This window comes from Homo sapiens, chromosome 6 (genome assembly GCF_000001405.40).
Source record: "Homo sapiens chromosome 6, GRCh38.p14 Primary Assembly".
Taxonomy (NCBI): Eukaryota; Metazoa; Chordata; class Mammalia; order Primates; family Hominidae; genus Homo; species Homo sapiens.
The window spans coordinates 143998160-144019176 of record NC_000006.12 but is presented as its reverse complement, the minus strand read 5'-3'; the positions used below and the strand labels follow the sequence as shown (position 1 = coordinate 144019176).

General features: G+C 38.7%; 1 protein-coding gene and 1 long non-coding RNA gene across 25 annotated transcripts in view, besides 3 other annotated features; both read left to right on the top strand.

Moving 5' to 3' along the window:
• The window catches only part of PLAGL1 (PLAG1 like zinc finger 1), a 124300-nt gene that overhangs the window by 45423 nt on the left and 57860 nt on the right, over positions 1-21017 (top strand). For 14 of the 24 annotated variants that reach the window (NM_001289047.2, NM_001289049.2, NM_001317160.2 and 11 more), the window contains exon 1: positions 10918-11087. The exons of the other annotated variants lie outside the window; for them this stretch is intronic. The gene's annotated coding sequence lies outside the window, so the exon portion shown is untranslated. Of the gene's footprint in view, positions 1-10917; positions 11088-21017 lie in introns of those variants that run through there. 24 annotated transcript variants of the gene reach the window in all.
• Positions 10682-10731: a silencer, noted in NCBI's record as "silent region_17633". NCBI's record gives its function as "represses an Ori minimal core promoter by ATAC-STARR-seq in GM12878 lymphoblastoid cells {active_cell/tissue: GM12878}" and the evidence as "EXISTENCE:reporter gene assay evidence [ECO:0000049][PMID:35858748]".
• On the top strand, positions 10918-14261 carry HYMAI (hydatidiform mole associated and imprinted). Its single transcript, NR_002768.3, has one exon. It is a non-coding gene; the product is annotated as a hydatidiform mole associated and imprinted (long non-coding RNA).
• Positions 10922-11111: a silencer, noted in NCBI's record as "silent region_17632". NCBI's record gives its function as "represses an Ori minimal core promoter by ATAC-STARR-seq in GM12878 lymphoblastoid cells {active_cell/tissue: GM12878}" and the evidence as "EXISTENCE:reporter gene assay evidence [ECO:0000049][PMID:35858748]".
• Positions 11307-11489: a silencer, noted in NCBI's record as "fragment chr6:144328825-144329007 (GRCh37/hg19 assembly coordinates)". NCBI's record gives its function as "represses an EF-1alpha promoter that drives an FKBP-Casp9 reporter gene in an ReSE screen in K562 erythroleukemia cells {active_cell/tissue: K562}" and the evidence as "EXISTENCE:reporter gene assay evidence [ECO:0000049][PMID:32094911]".

Below are 21017 nucleotides of genomic sequence, written 5' to 3'. Positions count from 1 at the left end.
AAAATCCAGGGATCACTTTAGAATGAAGTATTGCATTCAGTTTAGTGGTTGTAATCTCATTTAATCTGGAATCTCAGCGTTTGTCTTTATAACATTGATGTTTTTGCAACATAGTCTAGTTTGTTGTTGTTGTTGTTGTTTTAAATATAGGGTCTTTCTCTGTACCCCAGGCTGGAGTATAGTGGTGCGGTCATAACTCAGTGCAGCCTTGATCTCCTGGGCTCAAGTGATCCTCCCACCTTAGCTTCCCAAGTTGCTGGCATTACAGGCATGAGCCACTATGCCTCGCTCTTTATTAATGTCCCTCGACTTTGGTTCATCTAATTATTCCATCATTAAGATTTAATTTGTGCGTCTTTGGCAGGAATACTACATATGTGATGTGTCTTGATCAGTATATCACATTAGGAGGTACATGTCAATTTGTGGCATTACTGGTGATATTAACTTTTTTTAAAGTTCTTGCAGAGAGAATTTAGATGTTAGAGTGAACATCACTTTTAAAAAAATTATTTTTCTTTAAATTGATGAATAAAAATGATATATTTTATGGTGTCTAACATGTTTTTATATTTGTATGCCTTGCCAAATGGCTAGATCAAGCTAATTAACAAATCCCTGATGTCACATACTTATTTTTTGTGGTAAGAATACTTACTAAAATCTGCAATTTTCAAGTATACAATAAATTATATTAACGATAGTCACCATAGTGTACACTGGAAATCTTGAACTTATTCCTCCTTACTGAAACTTTGTGTCCTTTGACCAATACCCGCTACCCCATCCTCTCACCCCCGCCAGCCCCTGGTAACCAGCATTCTACTCTCTGTCTACTTCTATGAGTTTCACTTTTTTATACTCTACAGGTAAGAAAGATCATGCTGTGTTTGTCTTTGTGTCTGACTTATTTCACTTAACATAATGTCCTCCAGGCTCATGCATGTTGTTGTAAATGATAGGATTTCTTTCTTTAACTTTTTTGAGACTATATAGACTATATAAATATCCTATTCCTCTTCAATGTTCCCCGAAGTAGTTTTAGCATCCATTGATAATTCATGTATTCATTATTACTCTGATGGCTACAAAATGTAACTTTTTAAAATTATTCCTTCTGTGCTCATTCATTAGTGGGGCTGGAGCTTTGGAGTTTGGTTTGGTGCAAGGACAGGATGTCAAGATCTGGACAGTGGTGAGAAAATGATTACAATCTTGAACCTTGTGGTGTAGGCTGGCTAGGGAAGGAGTGGAAACAAGGAGGGAATCCAGTGAAGGAGACTGGAGAGTCTTACTGCAGTCAGAGTAAACATCCTGTGAGTGAGAGAGTGAGAAACCAGGAAGAGCAGGAAGTTATGATCAGAGGTGGGAATTTTGGAGTTGAAGATTTCCAGGGGAGAGCAGATCCTGGTTGTTGAAGTCTACGGGTTTGCCATGGATTCAGGGAACTGTTTAAATGGAGAGGAGGTTTTCCATTAGGAGGAAGTGAAGGAATTCTAAGACTAGGCTATTGAATAAATCACCCACATGGTTGTCTAATTGGCCCAGGATGATGGGGCAACTAGCAGAGGCATTTAACCACCCAGGTGCCAAAGTCCTCCCTTGAGCAGGCTCGATAATGAGTACATGGAAAAACTTTATCACGTAAAGTAGGACATTTTAGTAGAGGTGCCAGACTTCACCTTGTGAGTCTTCTATGTTGACTAAATGTCAGTCAGTTGAAGATAGAAATGGACATTAGTCAGTTTTGCTTGGGGAAAACTTCAAAGATGTTATCATGGGAGCCCTTGTTGGGGAAGTGATACCTAGATGGAGAAGTCATTGCAAATAGTGGCAAGAGGAGGGAAGGGGGCAGGAATCCTCTGAGCCAAGATTACAGTTTCAAAAAAAGGAGAAGAGACTTGAAGTTTGAGGATGGCCAGCAATAAGACCAGCAAGAGGTAGTTTGGCCAGAAGCGATGCGCTTTAAAAAAAAACTACATATGTATACAGGTTTTTAAGGGTTATTTATATTGTGATTAGAGAAAATTAAATCTAAGCATTTGTTGAATATCTGTTGAGTTGAACACACTAAAAGATTTTTTCGAGTTTTTATGGTGCACAATCTGTTTGAAGGACTGTAAATGCCATAATGAGGCTGTTCTCTGTGGCTGCTTACTATTATAAAAGAACACTGGATTAGGAGTCCAAGAGAAGGCTCTAGGTCAGGTTTCACCTCTGCCACTGACACCCTCACAGGTTAGAAAACAGACTGATAATGCACAAGAGAGTGCTAATGAAAAAGCTCACAACAAAAAAAACAGCAGAAGGTCAATTCTAATTCAAATTGCTGGTAATAGAGATAAAACCAATCTCATGTGATTTCTCCTCATCCTATCCAAATAAGAAAGGAAATAATTTAATGACACTTACTGAAGTATGATTTGCATGTAATCAAGTGGATGTATTTTAGGTGTATCATTCAGTGCAGTATGACAAATACATAGCCCCAATGCAATCTTCTTACTAACCAAGAGGTAGAACATTTCTATCACCTTGTAAAATTCTCCAACACCTCCCCTCCTTCCACTGTAGAAAACTATTGATCTGCTTTAGAAAGACTATAATTTTGTGTTTCTAAAATTTCCTATGAATGGGACCATGTGTCGTTTACATATTATGATGGTTAATACTGACTGTCACCTTGATTGGATTGAAAGATACAAAGTATTGATCCTAGGTGTGTCTGTGAGAGTGTTACCAAAAGAGATTAATATTTGAGTCAGTGGTCTGGGGAAGGCAGATCCACCCTTAATCTGGTGGGCATAATCTAGTCAGGTGCCAGCGAATGTAAGGCAGGCAGAAAAATGTGAAAAGGAGAGACTGGCCTAGCCTCCCAGCCTACATCTTTCTCCCATGCTGGATGCTTCCTGCCCTCTAACATCAGACTCCAAGTTCTTCAGTTTTGGGACTCGGACTGGCTCTCCTTTCTCCTCAGCTTGCAGACAGCCTATTGTGGGACCTTGTGATCATGTAAGTTAATACTTAATAAACTCATATGTATATGTGTGTGTATATATATATATACACATATGTATATCTCTTATTAGTTCTGTCCCTCTAGAGAACCCTGACTAATACAATATGATTTCTTTGACTCCGCACAGTGTTGTTGTTGTTTTGATTCATCTGTGTTGACAGTATCAGCAGTTTGCCCATTTTATTACTGATATTTGAGTTGTTTTCAGTTTGGAGAGAATATGAATATTTGCATTTAAGTCTTTCCACAGACATGTTATCATTTCTCTTGGATAAAATACCTAAGACTGAGATTGCTGGGTCATATAATAAGAGTATGTTTAACTTTATAAGAAACTTTCAAACTGTTTTCCAAAGTGGCTGTATCATTTTATATTTCTTCTAGCAATGTGCGAGAGTTCCAGTTTTTCCACATTGTCACCAACCCTTGGTATTTTCAGTCTTTTCAACTTTAGCCTTTCCAGTGGGTATGTAGCGGTATTTCACTGTAGTTTTGATTTGCATTAATCATTGGGGAAATGATGTTTAATGTCATTCTTGGACTTCTTGGCCCTTCACATGTCTTATTTAGTGAAGTGTATTGTTTATTGTATTATTGGGTTCTTCAAATATTTTAGTGCAAGTCCTATGTCAGATATATGCATTGTGAAGACTTTTTCCCATGTGGCTTAGATTTTTTTCCTTAATGGTCTCTTTTAAAGATCAGGTTTTATTTTAGTAAAATCCAATTGCCAGTTTATTCTTTTAGGGTCATTGCTTCTTGTGTCCTGTCCAGCCAGTCTCTGCCTATCCCTAGGTTTTCTTCTAAAACAGTGTTGTCAAACAGAAATATCATGTAAGCTAGATAGGTAATTTAAAATGTTCCAGTAGCCACGTTTTAAAAATAGTTTAAGTTACTTTGAATTATATGCAATATATCTAAAATATTATTTCAACATGTAATCAATATAAAAATTAATAGGATATTTTACATTTTTAAAAAATCCCAAGTCTTTGAAAGCCAGAGTATATTTTACACTTGTAGCACATTTCAGTTTGAACTAGCTACGTCATAGCCATACATGGCTTATGGGTACTGTATTGAACAAGGTGATTCCAGAAGTTTTATAGTTCCTGCTTTTTATTTAGGTCTGAGATTTCACTTGATTCGTTTTTTGTGAATGGCGTGAAATGCATGTAGAAGTTTATTTTTTTCTCTATATAGATAACCAGTTCCCACACCATTTATCTCTTTCCAATGGAATTATGTTATACCTCTGTCAAAATACCAATAGATCTAGGCTGGGGACAGTGGCTCACACCTGTAATCTCAGCACCTTGGGAGGCCGAGGTGCTCAGATCACTTGAGTCTAGGAGTTTGAGACCAGCCTGGGCAACGTGGCAAAACCCTGTCTCTACTAAAAATACAAAAATTAGCTGGGTGCCGTGGCATCTCTCTGTAGTCCGAGCTATTCTGGAGGCTGAGGCAGTAGAATCACTTGAAACTGGGAGGTGGAGGCTGCAGTGAGCCGAGATCATGTCACGGTACTCCAGCCTGGGCGACAGAGCCAGACTGTGTCTCCAAACAAACAAACAAACAAAACCCAATAGATCTTATGTGTGGGTCTATTTCTGGACTCAATACACTATTGTTTTTTCTTATGTCAGTACCCTGCTGTCTTTTGTCAGTACCCTACTGTCGGTACCCTTATGTCAGTACCCGACTGTCTTTTTTTTATTTTTATTTTTTTGAGACAGAGTCTTGCTCTGTCGCCTAGGCTGGAGTGCAGTGGTGCAATCTTGGCTCACTGCAACCTCCACCTTAAGGTTAAAGCAATTCTCCTGCCTTAGCCTCCTGAGTAGCTGGGATTACAGGTGTGCACCACTATGCCTGGCAAATTTTGCATTTTTAGTATTGATGGGGTTTTGCCATGTTGGCCAAGCTGGTCTTGAACTCCTGACCTCAAATGATCTGCCCGCCTCGGCCTCCCAAATTGCTGGGATACAGGTGTGAGCCACCATGCCCAGCCATTACCCTATTGTCTTGATTAGTCTAGCCTTATAGTAGGCGTAAAAATCAGATAGCATAAGCCTTCCAACTTTGTTTTTCTTTTTAAGATTATTTTTTCTCTTCTAGGTTCTTTTCATTTCCATATAAAGTTTAGAATCAGCTTGTCAATTTCTATAGCAAAGCTGACATGGATTTTGCCCATGTCAACTTTGACATGAGGACTGACTGATGACCCTCGAAAATATTTGTGTCCTAATCTCTGGAATCTCAGAATGTAACCTGAGTTGAATAAAAGGGTCTTTGCAGATGTGACTTAAGTTACGGATCTTGAAATGAGGAGACCACCTTCAGTTATTTCAGTGAGTCCTAAGTACAGTGACATCTACCCCTATAAGAGAGATACACACAGGAGAAAGCACATGGCACGCACAGAGAAGGCGTTGTGAAGATGGAGGCAGAGATTGGCATGCTGTGGCCGCAAGCCAAGGAAGCCGAGGAAGCCAGGGAATGGCAGTGGTCACCAAAAGCTGGAAGTTGTGAGGAAGGAATCTCCACTAGAGCCACTAGATGGCGCCTGCGGCCTTTGCTGATATCTTGATTTCAGACTTCTGGCCTTTCGGACTCAGAAAATAAATTTCATGTTTTATGCCACCAGTTTGTGGTAATTTGTTATGGCAGCTATAGGATAAAATATAGCCACTATCTGGCTAAGGAAGTTCCATTCCATTCCTAGTTGTCATTTTTTTCAGGATGGGGTGTAGTTGTCAAATGCTCTTTTTGCATCAATTGAAAATAACATTTTCCCCCTCCATTATTTTGTTAATGTGGGCATAATCTGTATGATTGTCTGCCCATGTGGTATTAATTTTAGCCCCATCATAGCTGTTACCCCTGGTAACACCTGTTCCTGAAAGTGTTGGGTCCTGACACATTGTATCAACCTATAGATGTGTCAGCATGAATTTTCTTGTTCTGCATTTGCTGAAGAAATGTTAAGAAGTCATTCAATAGTCTGCAGAATAAAATGGAATCTCCAAATACTTAGAGAAAAAGTGTGATTATGGAATTTGTCCTGAGGGGTTCTGTCTACTACAGTGACCACGCTGGCAACCCTTGGGTCCAGTTTGACCTGGAGAAATACTTCATGTGGCCTCTGCAGTGTTTCCAAAATTAGAAGATTTTATATTAAAATGTTAGATAGCATACTTCCCTTGAAAATTATGCAGATGTGGCAACCCTGCCCTGAGTTCAAACATGGCAGCCATTGGCCTGAGCTGAGCATCTGCCCCTTACACAAAGAATGTCCTTTTCACTTTACCACAGTCCCATTGTTCCTCACTGTTTTAAACTTTGTAGAGATTTGAGTTTGCAACCCCTGCTCCAGAAGCTTTGCTAGGGCATGCTGTAATGCCAAAGCATGCGTCATTGAGGGAAAGCTCAGGAGAAAAAGAGTGTGTCACAGCTACCAGGTCAACATAGTCATGTTCAAAGAGACCACTGTGGAAATAACCTAAAGATAAAAAAGGATTTCATATAGTTCATTACCAGTGAGAAAGAAAGACTGCTTGACTGACTTCTGGATAAAGATGGCACAAGGAAGCACTAAAAAAATCAAAATTAAAATACTAAATCATCCAGGCATGGTGGCTCACGTCTGTAATCCCAGCACTTTGGGAGACTGAGACAGGCGGATCACCTGAGGTCAGGAGTTTGAGACCAGCCTGGCTAACATGGCGAACTTCCCCCCAACCCAGCACCCCCATACCAGCCTCTACTAAAAATACAAAAATTAGCCGGTTGTGATGGTGCACGCCTATAATCCCAGCTACTCAGGAGGCTGAGACAGGAGAATTGCTTGAACCCGGGAGGCAGGTTGCGGTGAGCCAAGATCATGCCACTGTACTCCAGCTTGGGTGACAGAGCGAGACTCTGTCTCAAAAACAAAACAAAACACTAAATCACCCAAAGGAAAGAAAGCAACAAAAAACTTACATGCTGCAACCAAAGAAGAAAAAAGTACAACCTTATAATGTAAAATTTGAGAATTGATAGCAAAAACAAAGAGAACAGAAGATTCTATGGAGGCGTGCTTTGTCTCCAGATGAACCTATGTCTGCCCAGCCCTCCACCCACCGCTGCAAGACATGTTGAGGAAAAAGATGATCAGACCAAATCCTAAGAATTCTCACAAACGTCCCCCAATGTGGAAAGGCAGGGCACACCTGTGAGATGTTGAGGAACCTTTGCATACCACTGTTGGATCTTGCCAGAGGCAGGAAAGTTTCCCACTTTCTGGGATACTGTGCTGAACTGAGCAAATGAACTGAAACTCTGAGGCATGGGATGTTCCCTTGGCTAGCTTGAAGTCCAGCTGCCAGAGGACTTAAAGGAATCTCAGATGTGAAGGTTGAGTTCCTCCAGCAAGCTTTATACTCTGTCTGAGCTGAATTCCACACATCCCCTTTTCCCCCACCTCTCCTTGTCCGAAAAACCTTGGATCACAGAACAAGTAGATAGAAACAACATTCAGCCCTGAAAAAGCAGCGTATTCAGATATATAATATACATGGGACATTAGAAAAGAACATAATCTATAAATTGGAAGATCATACTGTATGCTGGGGGGAAAAATTGATCTAGAATAACTGACACAGAGGCATAGCCCAGATAAGAATACTAAAGGGTATATTAATGTTAAAGAATTCTTCAGGTATCCAAGCAGAAAAATCAAGCCACCTCCAAGGGGAAAATTACATGGGATTAAGATCTTTCCACAGAAATCTTTGAAGCATTTCTCTAATGACCAGTAATGATGAGCTTTTTTCATATGTTTGTTGGCCACATAAATGTCTTCTTTTGAGAAGTGTCTGTTCATATCCTTTGCCCACTTTTTGATGGAGTTGTTTTTTTCTTATAAATTTGTTTAAGTGCTTTGTAGATTCTGGATATTAGCCCTTTGTCAGATGGATAATTGCAAAAATTTTCTCCCATTCTGTAGGTTGCCTGTTCAGTCTGATGATAGTTTCTTTTGGTGTGCAGAAGCTCTTTAGTTTAATTAGATCCCAATTGTCAATTTTGGCTTTTGTTGCCATTGCTTTTGGTGTTTTAGTTATGAACTCTGCCCATGCCTATGTCCTGAATGGTATTGCCTAGGTTTTCTTCTAGGCTTTTTATGGTTTTAGGTCTGATGTTTTAAGTCTTTAGTCCATCTTGAGTTAATTTTTGTATAAGGTGTAACGAAGCGGTCCAGTTTCAGTTTTCTGCATATGGCTAACCAGTTTTTCCCAACACCATTTATTAACTAGGGAATCTTTTACCTATTGCTTGTTTTTGTCAGGTTTGTCACAGATCAGATGGTTGTAGATGTGTGGTGTTATTTCTGAGGACTCTGTTCTGTTCCATTGGTCCATATATCTGTTTTGGTACCAGTACCATGCAGTTTTGGTTACTGTAGCCTTGTAGTGTAGTTTGAAGTCAGGTAGTGTAATGCCTCCAGCTTTGTTCTTTTTGCTTAGGATTGTCTTGGCTATACGGGCTCTTTTTTGGTTCCATATGAAATTTAAAGTAGTTTCTTCTAATTCTGTGAAGAAAGTCAATGGTAGCTTGATGGGGATAGCATTGAATCTATAAATTACTTTGGGCAGTATGGCAATTTTCATGATAATTGATTCTTCCAATCCATGAGCATGGAATGTTTTTCCATTTGTTTGTGTCCTCTCTGATTTCCTTAAGCAGTGGTTTGTAGTTCTCCTTGAAGAGGTCCTTCACATCTCTTGTAAGTTGTATTCCTAGGTATTTTATTCTCTTTGTCGCCATTGTGAATCAGAGTTCACTCATGTGTTGGCTCTCTTATTTGTCTACTATTGGGGTATAGGAATGCTTGTGATTTTTGCACATTGATTTTGTATCCTGAGACTTTGCTGAAGTTGCTTATCAGGTAACATCTCATGCCAGTTAGAATGATAATCATTAAAAAGTCAGGAAACAACAGATGCTGGAGAGGATGTGGAGAAATAGGAACGCTTTTACGCTGTTGGTGGGAGTGTAAATTGGTTCAACCATCGTGGAAGACAGTGTGGCAATTCCTCAAGGATCTAGAACCAGAAATACCATTTGACCCAGCAATCTCATTACTGGGTATATACCCAAAGAATTATAAATCATTCTACTGTAAAGACACATGCACACGTATGTTTATTGAAGCACTATTCACAATAGCAAAGACTTGGAATCAACCCAAATGGCCATTGGTGATAGACTGGATTAAGAAAATGTGGCACATATACACCATGGAATACTATGCAGCCATAAAAAAGGATGAGTTCATGTCCTTTGTAGGGACATGGATGAAGCTGGAAACCATCATTCTCAGCAAACTAACACAGGAACAGAAAACTAAACACCGCATGTTCTCATTCATAAGTGGGAGTTGAACAATGAGAACACATGGACTCAGGGAGGGGAACATCACACACTGGGGCCTGTTGGGGAGTGGGGGGCTAGTGGGGTAGGGATAGCATTAGGAGAAATGCCTAATGTAGATGACGGGTTGATGAGTGCAGCAAACCACCATGGCATGTGTATACCTATGTAACAAACCTGCCCGTTCTGCACATGTATCCCAAAACTTAAAGTATAATAAAAAAATAAATAAAGCAATTGCCATCTTGTTCTGTTAGGTTTTGAAGGAAGGTGTGAATTGAAAATATTTACCCAACTCACTTTTTATTTATGTATAGAGAAAAACACCAGATCTTCTCAAACATGGCAGCACTCTATAAACCCTCCTTAGGAATATGACTTGAAAATGAAGGAAGTCCATCAAGAACTAAATAAAAATAAAAATTCAGGGATAGATAAGTTACAGTGAATATCAAATTCATTTAAAGATAGAATTAAGACAACATCTGGAAAAATAAAGTTGCAGAGCAATTGCAAATGTTCTCATTGCTAGGAAGCCGAAAGTAACAGAACTAATGGAAATTGAGAGGCAGGGTTACCCCCTAAAGGTAGGTGGAGGTGTATGATGCTAATTAACCTCATCTTTCAGAGCTATGAGACTTTCTAAACCCGAACATGTAGTGAGCTCCTTACACCTCTCTTAATCTTTTTACGTAATGCTTATAGGCCTTTTAAAAAGCACGTCTTTTAGGGAAGAAAGCAATAGAGATTCCCTTCAGTTTATTTTTCTTAAATTCCAGTAACATGAAAAATTTGAAATTATATGAAGCAGACGTAGTGTGATACCGTAATTAGAAAATTACTTCTGTCTACCCTTTCTGCGTCTTCGTTTCTTCAGCTGTGAGACGGGTATTTCTCCCAGTGTTGCTGTGAGGATTACACGTATTTACCTGCAAAGTGCTTAGGACAGTGCCTGGCTCACGGTCAGTGCTCACGTTTGGGCAGCTGCACTTGGGCGCTGCTGGCACAGGAGGTAAGTTAGTTTGGCCTATTGCAGCGTCCCAGCATCTGTCGCGTTTCTCATGTGTGATTGGGCTCTGGCGGCCCATCCTGGCGGAGACTTCGGCTAGCAGGCCCCGCTGCAGACCCCAGGCCGGCTCGGGTCTACCTGCGCCAGCGCTGTACCTGGGCGACCTTGGCTTTGCCCCCACCGGTGACCCGGCCCGCAGGACGTGTGGGTGCCGCTCAGCTCCCCCCGCCTCGGCCGCCGACCCCCAGCTCCCCGGCGGGGCCTCCTCCTGCCACGTGACGCCCCCGCCAGGGGCCCCAGCGCCCTCCTCGCGGCCGCGCCGTTCCGGCTCCCGAGCCCCGCCTGCGCGCGGCCTCCTCGGCGCAGCCATCCTCTTGGCTGCCGCGGGCGGCAAAGCCCACGGCATCTGCCATTTGTCATTCAGCCCGTCGGTACCGCCCCGAGCCTTGATTTAGACACGGCTGGGGCGTGCTCTGGCCTCACTCTCCGGGCGGGTGCTGGACGGACGGACGGACGGGGCAGCCGTGCTCACAGCTCAGCAGCGCGGGGCCTTGGCGCGCGGGGCGCTTCCCCGGGTCGCCGTCATGGCCGCGGAGGTGGCACGCCCGAGCGGCCTCGCCTGAGCTCCGGGGGTCGTCGCCCCGCAGGGTAGGTGTTTGGGTGCTCGCGGCTGCGGCGGGCGGGCTGGGGGCAGCGGTGGCCGTGCATTGCCGCGCTGCGAGGACGGCGCTGGGTTCGCGGCCGCGAGGAGGGTGTGCCTTTGCCGCGCCGCCTACGTGCGGGTCCGGGCTCCGCGGGGCCGGGTGCGGGACCCCGCAGATCGTCACCCGCAACCCAGGCAGCCCCACCGCGAGTGCCGCCGGACCCCCTGGACGCCGCTGCCAGAGGCGTTCGCGCCTATCTGGTATGAGGTCCACAGACCCGATTCTTACAACCTGGCGCTCTAACCTCGCCAACGGGCCAGGAAAAAAACAGAACAAGGAAAAGAAGAAAAAGTCTGTTCCAAGTAATAATGGGACTAGACAGTAACTGTTTGCACTTTCGTCTCTTATGGAAAATATGATTATTTTGATGCTTTAGTATTACAGACTGTATCAGACATACTCTTAAAAGTATTTAAAAACGTGGGGTCCTAAAAATTTCCTAGATCGGGACAGCTGATAATGCGACTTCTGTTAGTCTCCGCATCCAACTTTCAGGGCGGAATGGGGATTTCTACCTTTTACTGAATATACTCCTGTAATTTTGAATATTTTTTCTCATCAAATGTGTTACTTTCATGTTTTAGGAAACCAATAAAAATCAAAAATAGAAACACCCAGCTTAGGTCCTCCTTCTTCCAGGAATCCTCCTCTAACCCCTCCCTCCCAGGCAGGATCGGAGGCCCCTCCCGGGTGCTTTCTGGGGCCTCACTGAGGTCCTGGTCCCCTAAGTCCTCCCCCGCAGCCCCTCCGCGTATTAACCCACCGGTCTCGCTGGGCTCAGAGATTGCTTACTTAGCACATGGTAAGTGATTAATACTGTTTAATGACCGAGGGAAAAGATAAAATGTTCTCTGATGTTTCACGCTTTTCGCTCTGAAGTTAAATAGTGGTAAATTTATATGCGCTTAGATAAGAACATTTAACAGTTAAGGATCTGGAAAAGTTGACGACGTCCGATGTCCGTGTTTCCTGATCCAGCAGTTGCACGCCTGGGTATTCATCCTTAAGAACAATGTTTTTCAGAATTTGAAGTCCATTTTAGTGGGTCGTAAAGTCATTTAAATGGATGATCAGAATTTGTAAAACACAGACGGAGAATAGAACATCAGTGTCTCTCAGGTCATAGGGGTGTTCGCTTTATGAATCTCTCTCCCCCTCCTCAGTTTCATACATACACAAATGTGTGTCATGATGTAAAACGTCATTCCTTAGTATGAGTCATGGACAAAAAAGTTTGAAAGCCACTGCCCTAGATAAATTTTAATACATGTCCACAAGCAGACGTGTACAAGAAGGTTGACTGTAATGGCAGAAAACTGGATGCCGCCTTCATGCCTACCTGAAGGAGAAAGATAAATTATACACCACTCATAAAAAGGGCACACTGTACAGTGGCCAATGAAGTATTTTTGTGTTTCAACACAAATGCCTTTCAGTGTTGAACCAAAAAAAAAAAAAGTTGCCGGAGAATGCTGTGTGATATCTTCTATGTAAAATTCAGAACCTGGTGGAGCAAAGCTGTTGTTTAGGGATGCATGTATAGGCATTAAAAGTAGTAAAGAAAAAAAGTCAAGCTAATGGTCATCTCCTAGTGGGGAGGAGAGGGTCAGGGGCTCAGAGATGCTGGAAATGCTTTATCGCCTGACCTGTGCAATGGTTACATGGGTGTTTGCTTTGTAACTCTTTGTTAAATGATACACACTGGGTTTGAATGTTACATTTCCCCCCAAATATGTTAAAATATGGGTGTTGCAAACTGAAGAAGCCTGAGTCTAGGGCTCTCCGTCTGTTATTCTTATTTCCTGGCTTCTTTTTAGAAAAAAAAAATCTTGCTCAGGGAGGAGTACCTAGGGAATTTATCAGTAATGTTTTATTTCATAAATTCCATGGTGGACATACCAGTATTCATTAAATTATTCTTTATGTATTCTTATAACTTAATTTATAATATTTCAAAAAGCATTTAGGAGAAAACATCATTTGGTGTGTTTGCTTTCCCAAAAGTCACATTTACATGTTTTGTACACAACTGGAATATTTTATATAGTAATTTTAGCTAAAATCAAATTTTGTTATGAAAAACGAAATACTAAAAAGTATATAAAAATCACAGAACTTTACAGACTTTCAGCGTTTTAAAATGCTAACATATTGTATTTACCTCAATAATTTCTGTTCCTCAGTTCTTTCAGGCCACATTTTTAGTGCTCAATAGCCTCATATGACTTTAATATTTTATTATATTTTATTATGTTATATATTTTACATTATACATTATAGAACAGAATATTTCCATCATTGCAGAAATTTATATTGGAAAACATTCTGGATACAAATATTTGTTATATACTTGCAGATATTAAACTGTAGACATTAATCCTTATGCTTTTTGTCTTAAGATACTCTACTATTAATGAAATGTATTCTGAATATTTTTCTAAGAATTTTTAAGTTTATGTTTTGTCCACATTTTGTTCTTTAATTTACCTGAGACATGTATATATTGAGATGTATATATTTTATGTTATGAGATCAAGCTTAATTAATTTTCAGATTCCCACATGAAAAGGTAATTGTCCCAATATCAGTGATTAGCAGTGCCACTTCTGTCACATACAGTACCCAGATATGTTTGGGCTTATTTCCAGGCTGTTAATCCTGGTTTATTTGTCATTTGAAAATACTGCAGATTTTCATTTACTGCTGCTTTCTATGTAGTATATTGTTCAGTTCTAAGAATTTAAGATTTTTTCATTGTGATATTTTTTCTTCCCCTAAGAGATTTGTAGAAAGTAGTCTAGTTCCAATGTGGAAGGTTTTGTGAGTTATCCTTTTGTTACTGATTTCTAATTTGCACTGTAGTTAGCATACGTGTCAAGGCCAACAATTCTTTGAAATTCGAGAATTGCTTTATGGTTTTAACTGCTCCTTGTATCATCAAGAATAATTTGTACTCACAGACTTTTGAGGCAATGTATGTAGGTGTGTGTATATATATAATATATACACATACACTTTATATATAGATTATATATAATCTCTCTGTAGAGTTTATATAAAAATTAAATATATTTATATAAATGTATATATATATATGAATAAAATCTCCTGTCTCTAAGGTTTATGTTTCATTAATTCAGGAAAGTTTTGTCTTTTATCTCTTTATTTTCACACATTTTTGTCCTATTCTTTAGGAGCTATGATTAGACTTCTGTTAGACTTCCTCACTCTATCACCCACATCTTTTAAGGTAGATTTAATGTATTTAATATATTTTTTATCCATGTTGAATTCTACATATGTTTTTTAGTTCTATAATTTATGTACAACAAAAAAAAGTGTGTAGCTTGGTGAAATTTACATATGTGTATACCTTTGTGATTACTACCCAGATAAACATATAAAACATTTTCATTCCTTCTGCCCCTTCCTATCAATGGAGCCACTCGCTTCCCCCAGTCAACTACTGTCCCGATTTCTATGACCATGTATTATTTTCAAATGTTTTTAAACTTCATATAAACGGAGTCATACAGTTTATTCTTTTGTTCACATTGTATTCATCCATGTTGCATGTATAAGAATTTTTGTTTGTTTTTTATTTTTGCTTTGTATCAAGGGTTGGCAAACTATGGCCTGTGGGCCAATTCCAACCCACTGCATGTTTCTGTTTATAAAATTTTATTGGGCTGTGTTCCATGGCTCCTGTCTATAATTCCAGCCAGTCAAGAGGCTGAGGCAGGAGAATCTCTTGAGCTCAGGAGTTCGAGCTTACAGTGAACTACGATCATGCCACTGCACTGCAGCCTGGGTGACAGTGAGATGACCCCATCTTAAAAAAAAAAAAAATTACTGGAACATAGTTATCCCCATTTGGCAGAGTTGAGTAGTTGTTATAGAGGCCATATGGCCCACAAAGCCTAAACTATTTACCACGTGGCCATTTACAGAAAAAAATTTATTGACACCTCTTCTACGGTATTACATTATGTGGATATATAATATGAGCAATTTACTTATTCATTTTCTTGTCGATTAACATTTGAGTTGTTTTCATTGTTGGGCCATTAAGAATTGAATTGTGAGGAATGTTCTTCCAACTTCCGTTGGTAGACATATATCTCTCAGCTATATACCAAGGAGTTGAATTGATGGTTTTTGGTAGGTTGGTTGCATTTCCATAAACACTAATAATGTTGAACATCTTAAAATATCTTAATCAGCTATTTAGATTTCCTTTATCACCTGCCTATTGAAATATTTTGCCCATTTTTTAAAAATTAGGTTACCTTTTTGTTAATGATTTTTAGTTCCTAATATAATCTGGATAGGGAATCTTTCTTGGGTATATGTTTGCAGGAATTTTCTACCCTGAAGTTTGCCTATTTATTCTCTTTTTTTTTTTTTTTTGAGATGGAGTCTCACTTTATCACCCAGGCTGGAGTGCAGTGGCACGACCTCGGCTCACTGCAAACTCCGCCTCCCAGGTTCATGCCATTCTCCTGCCTCAGCCTCCCGAGTAGCTGGGACTACAGGCACCCACCACTATGCCTGGATAATTTTTTGTATTTTTAGTACAGACGGGGTTTCACCGCGTTGGCCAGGATGGTCTTGATCTCCTGACCTCGTGATCCACCCGCCTTGGCCTCCCAAAGTGCTGGGATTACAGGTGTGAGCCACCGCGCCCAGCCCACTCTCAAGATTTTGAAGACATTTGCCTTTGTTTTCCTCCAGAAACTTTATAGTTTTAGCTGTTGGATCTGTGATTATCACCAGTTGATTTTTGTGTATGGTGTGAGGGGGGGATCAAGATTTATTTTGTATATGGACATCCATCTACTCTACACATTTATTGAAAAAAACAACACCTTTCTTTTCCCATTGAATTGCGTGGGGACTTTGTTAATAAATGAATGGTCATATATTTGGGTCTGTTTCTGGACTCTGTTCTTTCCACTTGGACTAATTATCCATTCTTGCATCAGTACCATACTTTTTTAATTACTGTAGTTTATGGTAAGTCTTGACATGGTATTGTAAACCCTCCAGTTTTGTTCTTTTAAACAAATGTTTTGACTATTTAAGTGCTTTACATTTCCATATAAATTTTCAAATGTGCTTGTCAATGTCCATTAAAAAAAAAAAAAAAAGCCTACCAGAATTTTGATTGGGATTGCATTGACTCTACAGAGCAACTTTGGGAAAGTGAACATTTTAACAGAATTGAGTCTTTCCCTTCATTGCATAAGTTCTTCTACAGTTACTTTCAACATTGTTTTGTATATTCAGTATAGAGGACTTACACATTGTTCAATTTATTTCTAGACATTTAATGTTTTTTTGATGCTGTTGTAAGTGGTGGAGTTTTTTTTTTCCCCCAGTTTTATTTTCCAAACATCTTGCCTAGTGTATGGAAACAAAATTTATTTTTATATATTGATCTTGTATTTTGTGCGCTTGCTAAATTCACTTATAGTTTTGGCAGTATGCAGATTTGTTTTTGTTTTTGTTTTTGTTTTTAATGTGCTGTCATGCCATCTGGAAAAAAAATGGTTTAAATATGCCTTTACAATTCTATTCTCTTTTTCGCCTTTTCTTGCCTTATTGCACTGGCTGGGACCTCTAGAACAATATTTAACAGAAGTATTAACAAAGGATATCCTTGCCTTTTCCTCATCTTAAGGGGAGAATACCTCAATATTTCACTATTAAGGGTGATGTTTACTGTACTTTTTTTGTAGATGTTCTTTACCAGATTGAGGAAATTTTCTTCTGTTTCTAGTTCACTGAGAATTGCTTTCGCAAATGAGTATTGAATTTTCAAATTCATTTTATTCTGAAATAATTTTAAATTTACAAGAATTGCAAAGATAGTGCAGTGTTTTTGTATACCCTTCACCCAGCTTCCTCTCATGTTAACATCTTACATAACCCTTGTAAAGTACCAAAGTTAAGAAATTAACATTGGCACAATAGTATTAATGAAACTATACACTTTATTCAGATTACCACAGTTTTCCCTCTAATGTTCTTTTTTTTTAATTTCAGGATCCACCCCATATACCACATGGTGTTTAGTTTTCATGCCTCCCTCGTTTACTCCAATCTGTGACAGTTTCTCAGTCTTTCATATCTTGTCACTTTTGAAGAGTACTGGTTATGTGTTTTGTAAAATGCATCTCAATTTGGATTTATCTGATGTTTTCTCACAATTAGACTGAGATTATGGATTTTGAGAGAAGAATATCGCAGAGCTGTTGTGCCCTTCTCATTGTATCACATATGGCAGCATATGATAGCCACATCAACTGATGATAACTTTGATCACATGGCAAGATGGTGTCTGGCAAGGTTTCTTATTGTAATGTTACTTTTTCCCCCTTTCCATGGTCTATTTGTTAGGAGAAAGTCCACAGTCAAAGGAAGGGAGGGATATCAAATAATTTGTGGTCATATGTTAAAACCACCACAGTGATTAATAAATATTTTTGAGGTAGTACAAATATTCTATTTCTCTTTAAAGTTTTGTCCAATAATTTTAGTGTTCAATGGATCTTGCCTGCAGCAATTATTATTGTGGTATTCTAATGGTGATTTTCCATTTCCTTCCTTCTTTCTACATTTATTAATAGAAATTCTTCTCTAAGAAAGATTGGTCCCTTTTTTCCCATTGATTTATTATTGAGTCAGTTATTTATATCCATGTATATTGATGGATATTTATTTAGTCTTTGAGCTATTATCTAATACCATTTTTATATTGCTTAAATTGTTCCAGCTTTGGCATTGGGATTTTTTCAGGTTGGTACTTTTGTCCTTTTGAAATGTCCCCATTAAAAATTTTTATTTTTTTTTTTTTATCATTTCCTTACTGTCTGGCACTATGAGATGCTCCAGGCTCATTTAGTATTTTCCCTTCCCCAACCTTAGAATCAGCCATTTCTCCAAAATGTCTTGATTCCTTTTATTGGAGGATGGTATTAGAAACCAAAATCTGTGTGCTAGGTGTCCTTGCTTCTATTGAGATGATACTGTTTCTTGGCCCTCTGTGGACAGAGCTAGGAGTTATATGTACGTATACTCTATTTTTAATTTTGTCAAATGCTTTTTCTGCATCTATTGAGATTATGACTTTTCTTAGTTTGATGACATGAAGAATTACAAATATCTGACATTTTAAAGGATGTTTTTCCAGTATTTCTTAGAACTTTGCAAGTATTAAAAGGTTTGTTTTAGAATGTCTAGCTCTCCATATTTCCTGAACAAATCTTCCTAAGATAACTCTAATGATTTTGATATGTCATAGAGCAGAAGCCTTCTTTTGTTTTTCTGCTGAATTGTTTGGCAATTTTAGACCTTTCCCATTCCATATGAGTTTTAGTACCTGTTTATGAAGTTTCTTGAAAAGTCCTGTTGGGATTTTTATAGAAATGGCTTTGAATTTATAGATCAATATGAGAAGAATGGGTATATTTGCAATACTCAATTTTTTCATTTATCTCACATGTCCTTTTTGTGTCCTTCAATGATATGATATAAATAAAGGACTTGTACATATTTTGTTACATTTATTTCTAGATCCTGATGATTTTTGTTGCTACTGTGAATAGTTTCTCTTAGTTTCTTATTTTCTAACCAGCTAGTTACTACTTCATAAATAACATTATATTTCCATTTACATAAATACATAATTTGCAAGAAATGATTTTTTTCTTTTCCTTCTGATCTTCAAATCTCTTATTCTTTTGTTTATGTCTAATTTCACTGGCTAGGACAACCAGTACAATGAAGAATAGTGGTACTGATCATGGGCATTCTTATTTTGCTTCTGACTTACATAAGAATGCTTTTGTAGCACTGAAGCTTAGTGTGATGTTGTTGCGGGATATTTAAAGTTCTCTTCTTCTAGTTCTCTAAGAGTTTTATATCATGAATTGTATTGGATTTTATTAAGTATTTTTTCTGAATCTATTGGACTGTGAAGCCAGATTGCTTGCATTCAATTCCTAGTTCTGCTCCTCTGCTGCCATGTAGTATAATCTTGGGCAGTTACTTCTCTGTATCTCAATTTTCTCATCTTTAAATTTAGGTACAACTGTCTACCATATAAGGTTGTTGAGAGGATTAAATGAGTTAATACATAAAAAGGGGTAAGAATTGTGCTTAGCCCTAGGAAGTACTCGTTTTTTTCTTCATTACTTAGTGTTAGGTTATTTTAATTTAAATTATCATAATAAGTAAATTAATTACTAAATCATCTTGCACTCGAAAGTAACCTTACACATATTTATTCACATGATTTGGATTTAATTTACTGTTTTAATTTTTTCATGTAATATTCATGAGTCATAAAGTGACTGTTCTTTTGCTATAGCAAAGAATGATGGATTCCTAGAACAACATTACACAAGAGCTTAGCAACTGAGGTGGCAACATTCCCAACTTTCTGGAGCGATTTATATCTGAGTCTTTTGATAAGCTGGAGATAGAGATAGCTCTTGCATGAGCAAATTCAGAACTTGGCATATTGTGGAAAATGGTCACTAAACAAAAAGGAAAAGTGATTTTAGCTTTTCTGCGTGTTTTATATTGCATCATTAATACATTGTATTATTTGTGTATGGAGATTTCCATATTTGGAATATTTGGAGAGTCATTCACCAATGATGTACTGAGCACTTTCTATGTGCCAGGCAATGTGTTTTGTTGGCTTGGGGGCTTATGTTTGCTCTCGAGGAACTTAGGGGTCAATTAGGATCAATCCTGAAGTTGAAGGCAGGCCTATTTATATCATTCAGGGAAACTCAGTGATCATTTTTTTTAAATTAATAAAATTGAACTTTCTCTTCCATTTGCATTCTGAAATACAGGAAAAAAATTTGAACTTTCTAATATCTTTCCTTCCTGCTTCTTTCACTCCCCTCAGCACCTTGGTTTAGGCCCTTGTCACCCTATGCTATTTTTCCCTGTATTGACTTTTCTTCCCTTCCTATCATGTGTAGTGACCACTGGGGTCAGTTCCCTGAAAAAGTCCTTTAGTGGCATCCCAATACTTACAAGATTCTTGGCTTCTTAGCATGACAATGGTCCTTTTTTTTGTCTGGTCCTAACTTACTTTACTGGCCTTCTCCGATTTCTCAAAACTAATCCAGTGGCACAGGTGGTCCTAACCACGCATCAGCCCCTAAAGGTTTCACTCTCCTGCTTTTGCAGCTGTGTTCTTATTTGTGCCATTTCCCCTGCCTTAAATGTTTTCTCCCCAACTAATTTTCAACCATTTTTTTTCAAGCTCTGTTCAGAGAATACTCACTCTACAACCCTACTAGCTACATAGAAACCCTATAATTTATAATCTATAGCCCTTGTTAAATTCTTACCTTTCGTCACCAATCTTTATATCTAAATGTCTTTTCCAGATGGTCAGGTTCTTAGATAGGGTTCAAGTGGCTGACATGATACTTTGCATACAAAGAGCTATTGCCAAATAGCTACCACTACTAAGTACCTACTATAATTGTGCTACAATTTTGCAAAGTAAGTATTATTATCTCTTTTAAATTGTGAAGAAACTTAGTATCAAAGAGATTAGGAAACTTTCCTAACACCATATAGTTAGTAAGTGGCAAAACTGGTTTGTCTGAATCAAAGCTCTTGCTCTTTCTTCTATGCCATACTGCCCTTGTGCTAAAAATGAAGAAATAATTAAATAAAATTATGAACAGAAGCATTTATGGTAAAACACACACTGAAAATGACATACACAGTGAAAGCTTTGCTTTCATTGCCAATATACTATAGAATCTTCACTTTGGTGACCATGATAGTTGCTATGGATTAACTGGTGTACTCCTATTTTCTTTGGACTTTCCTTCCA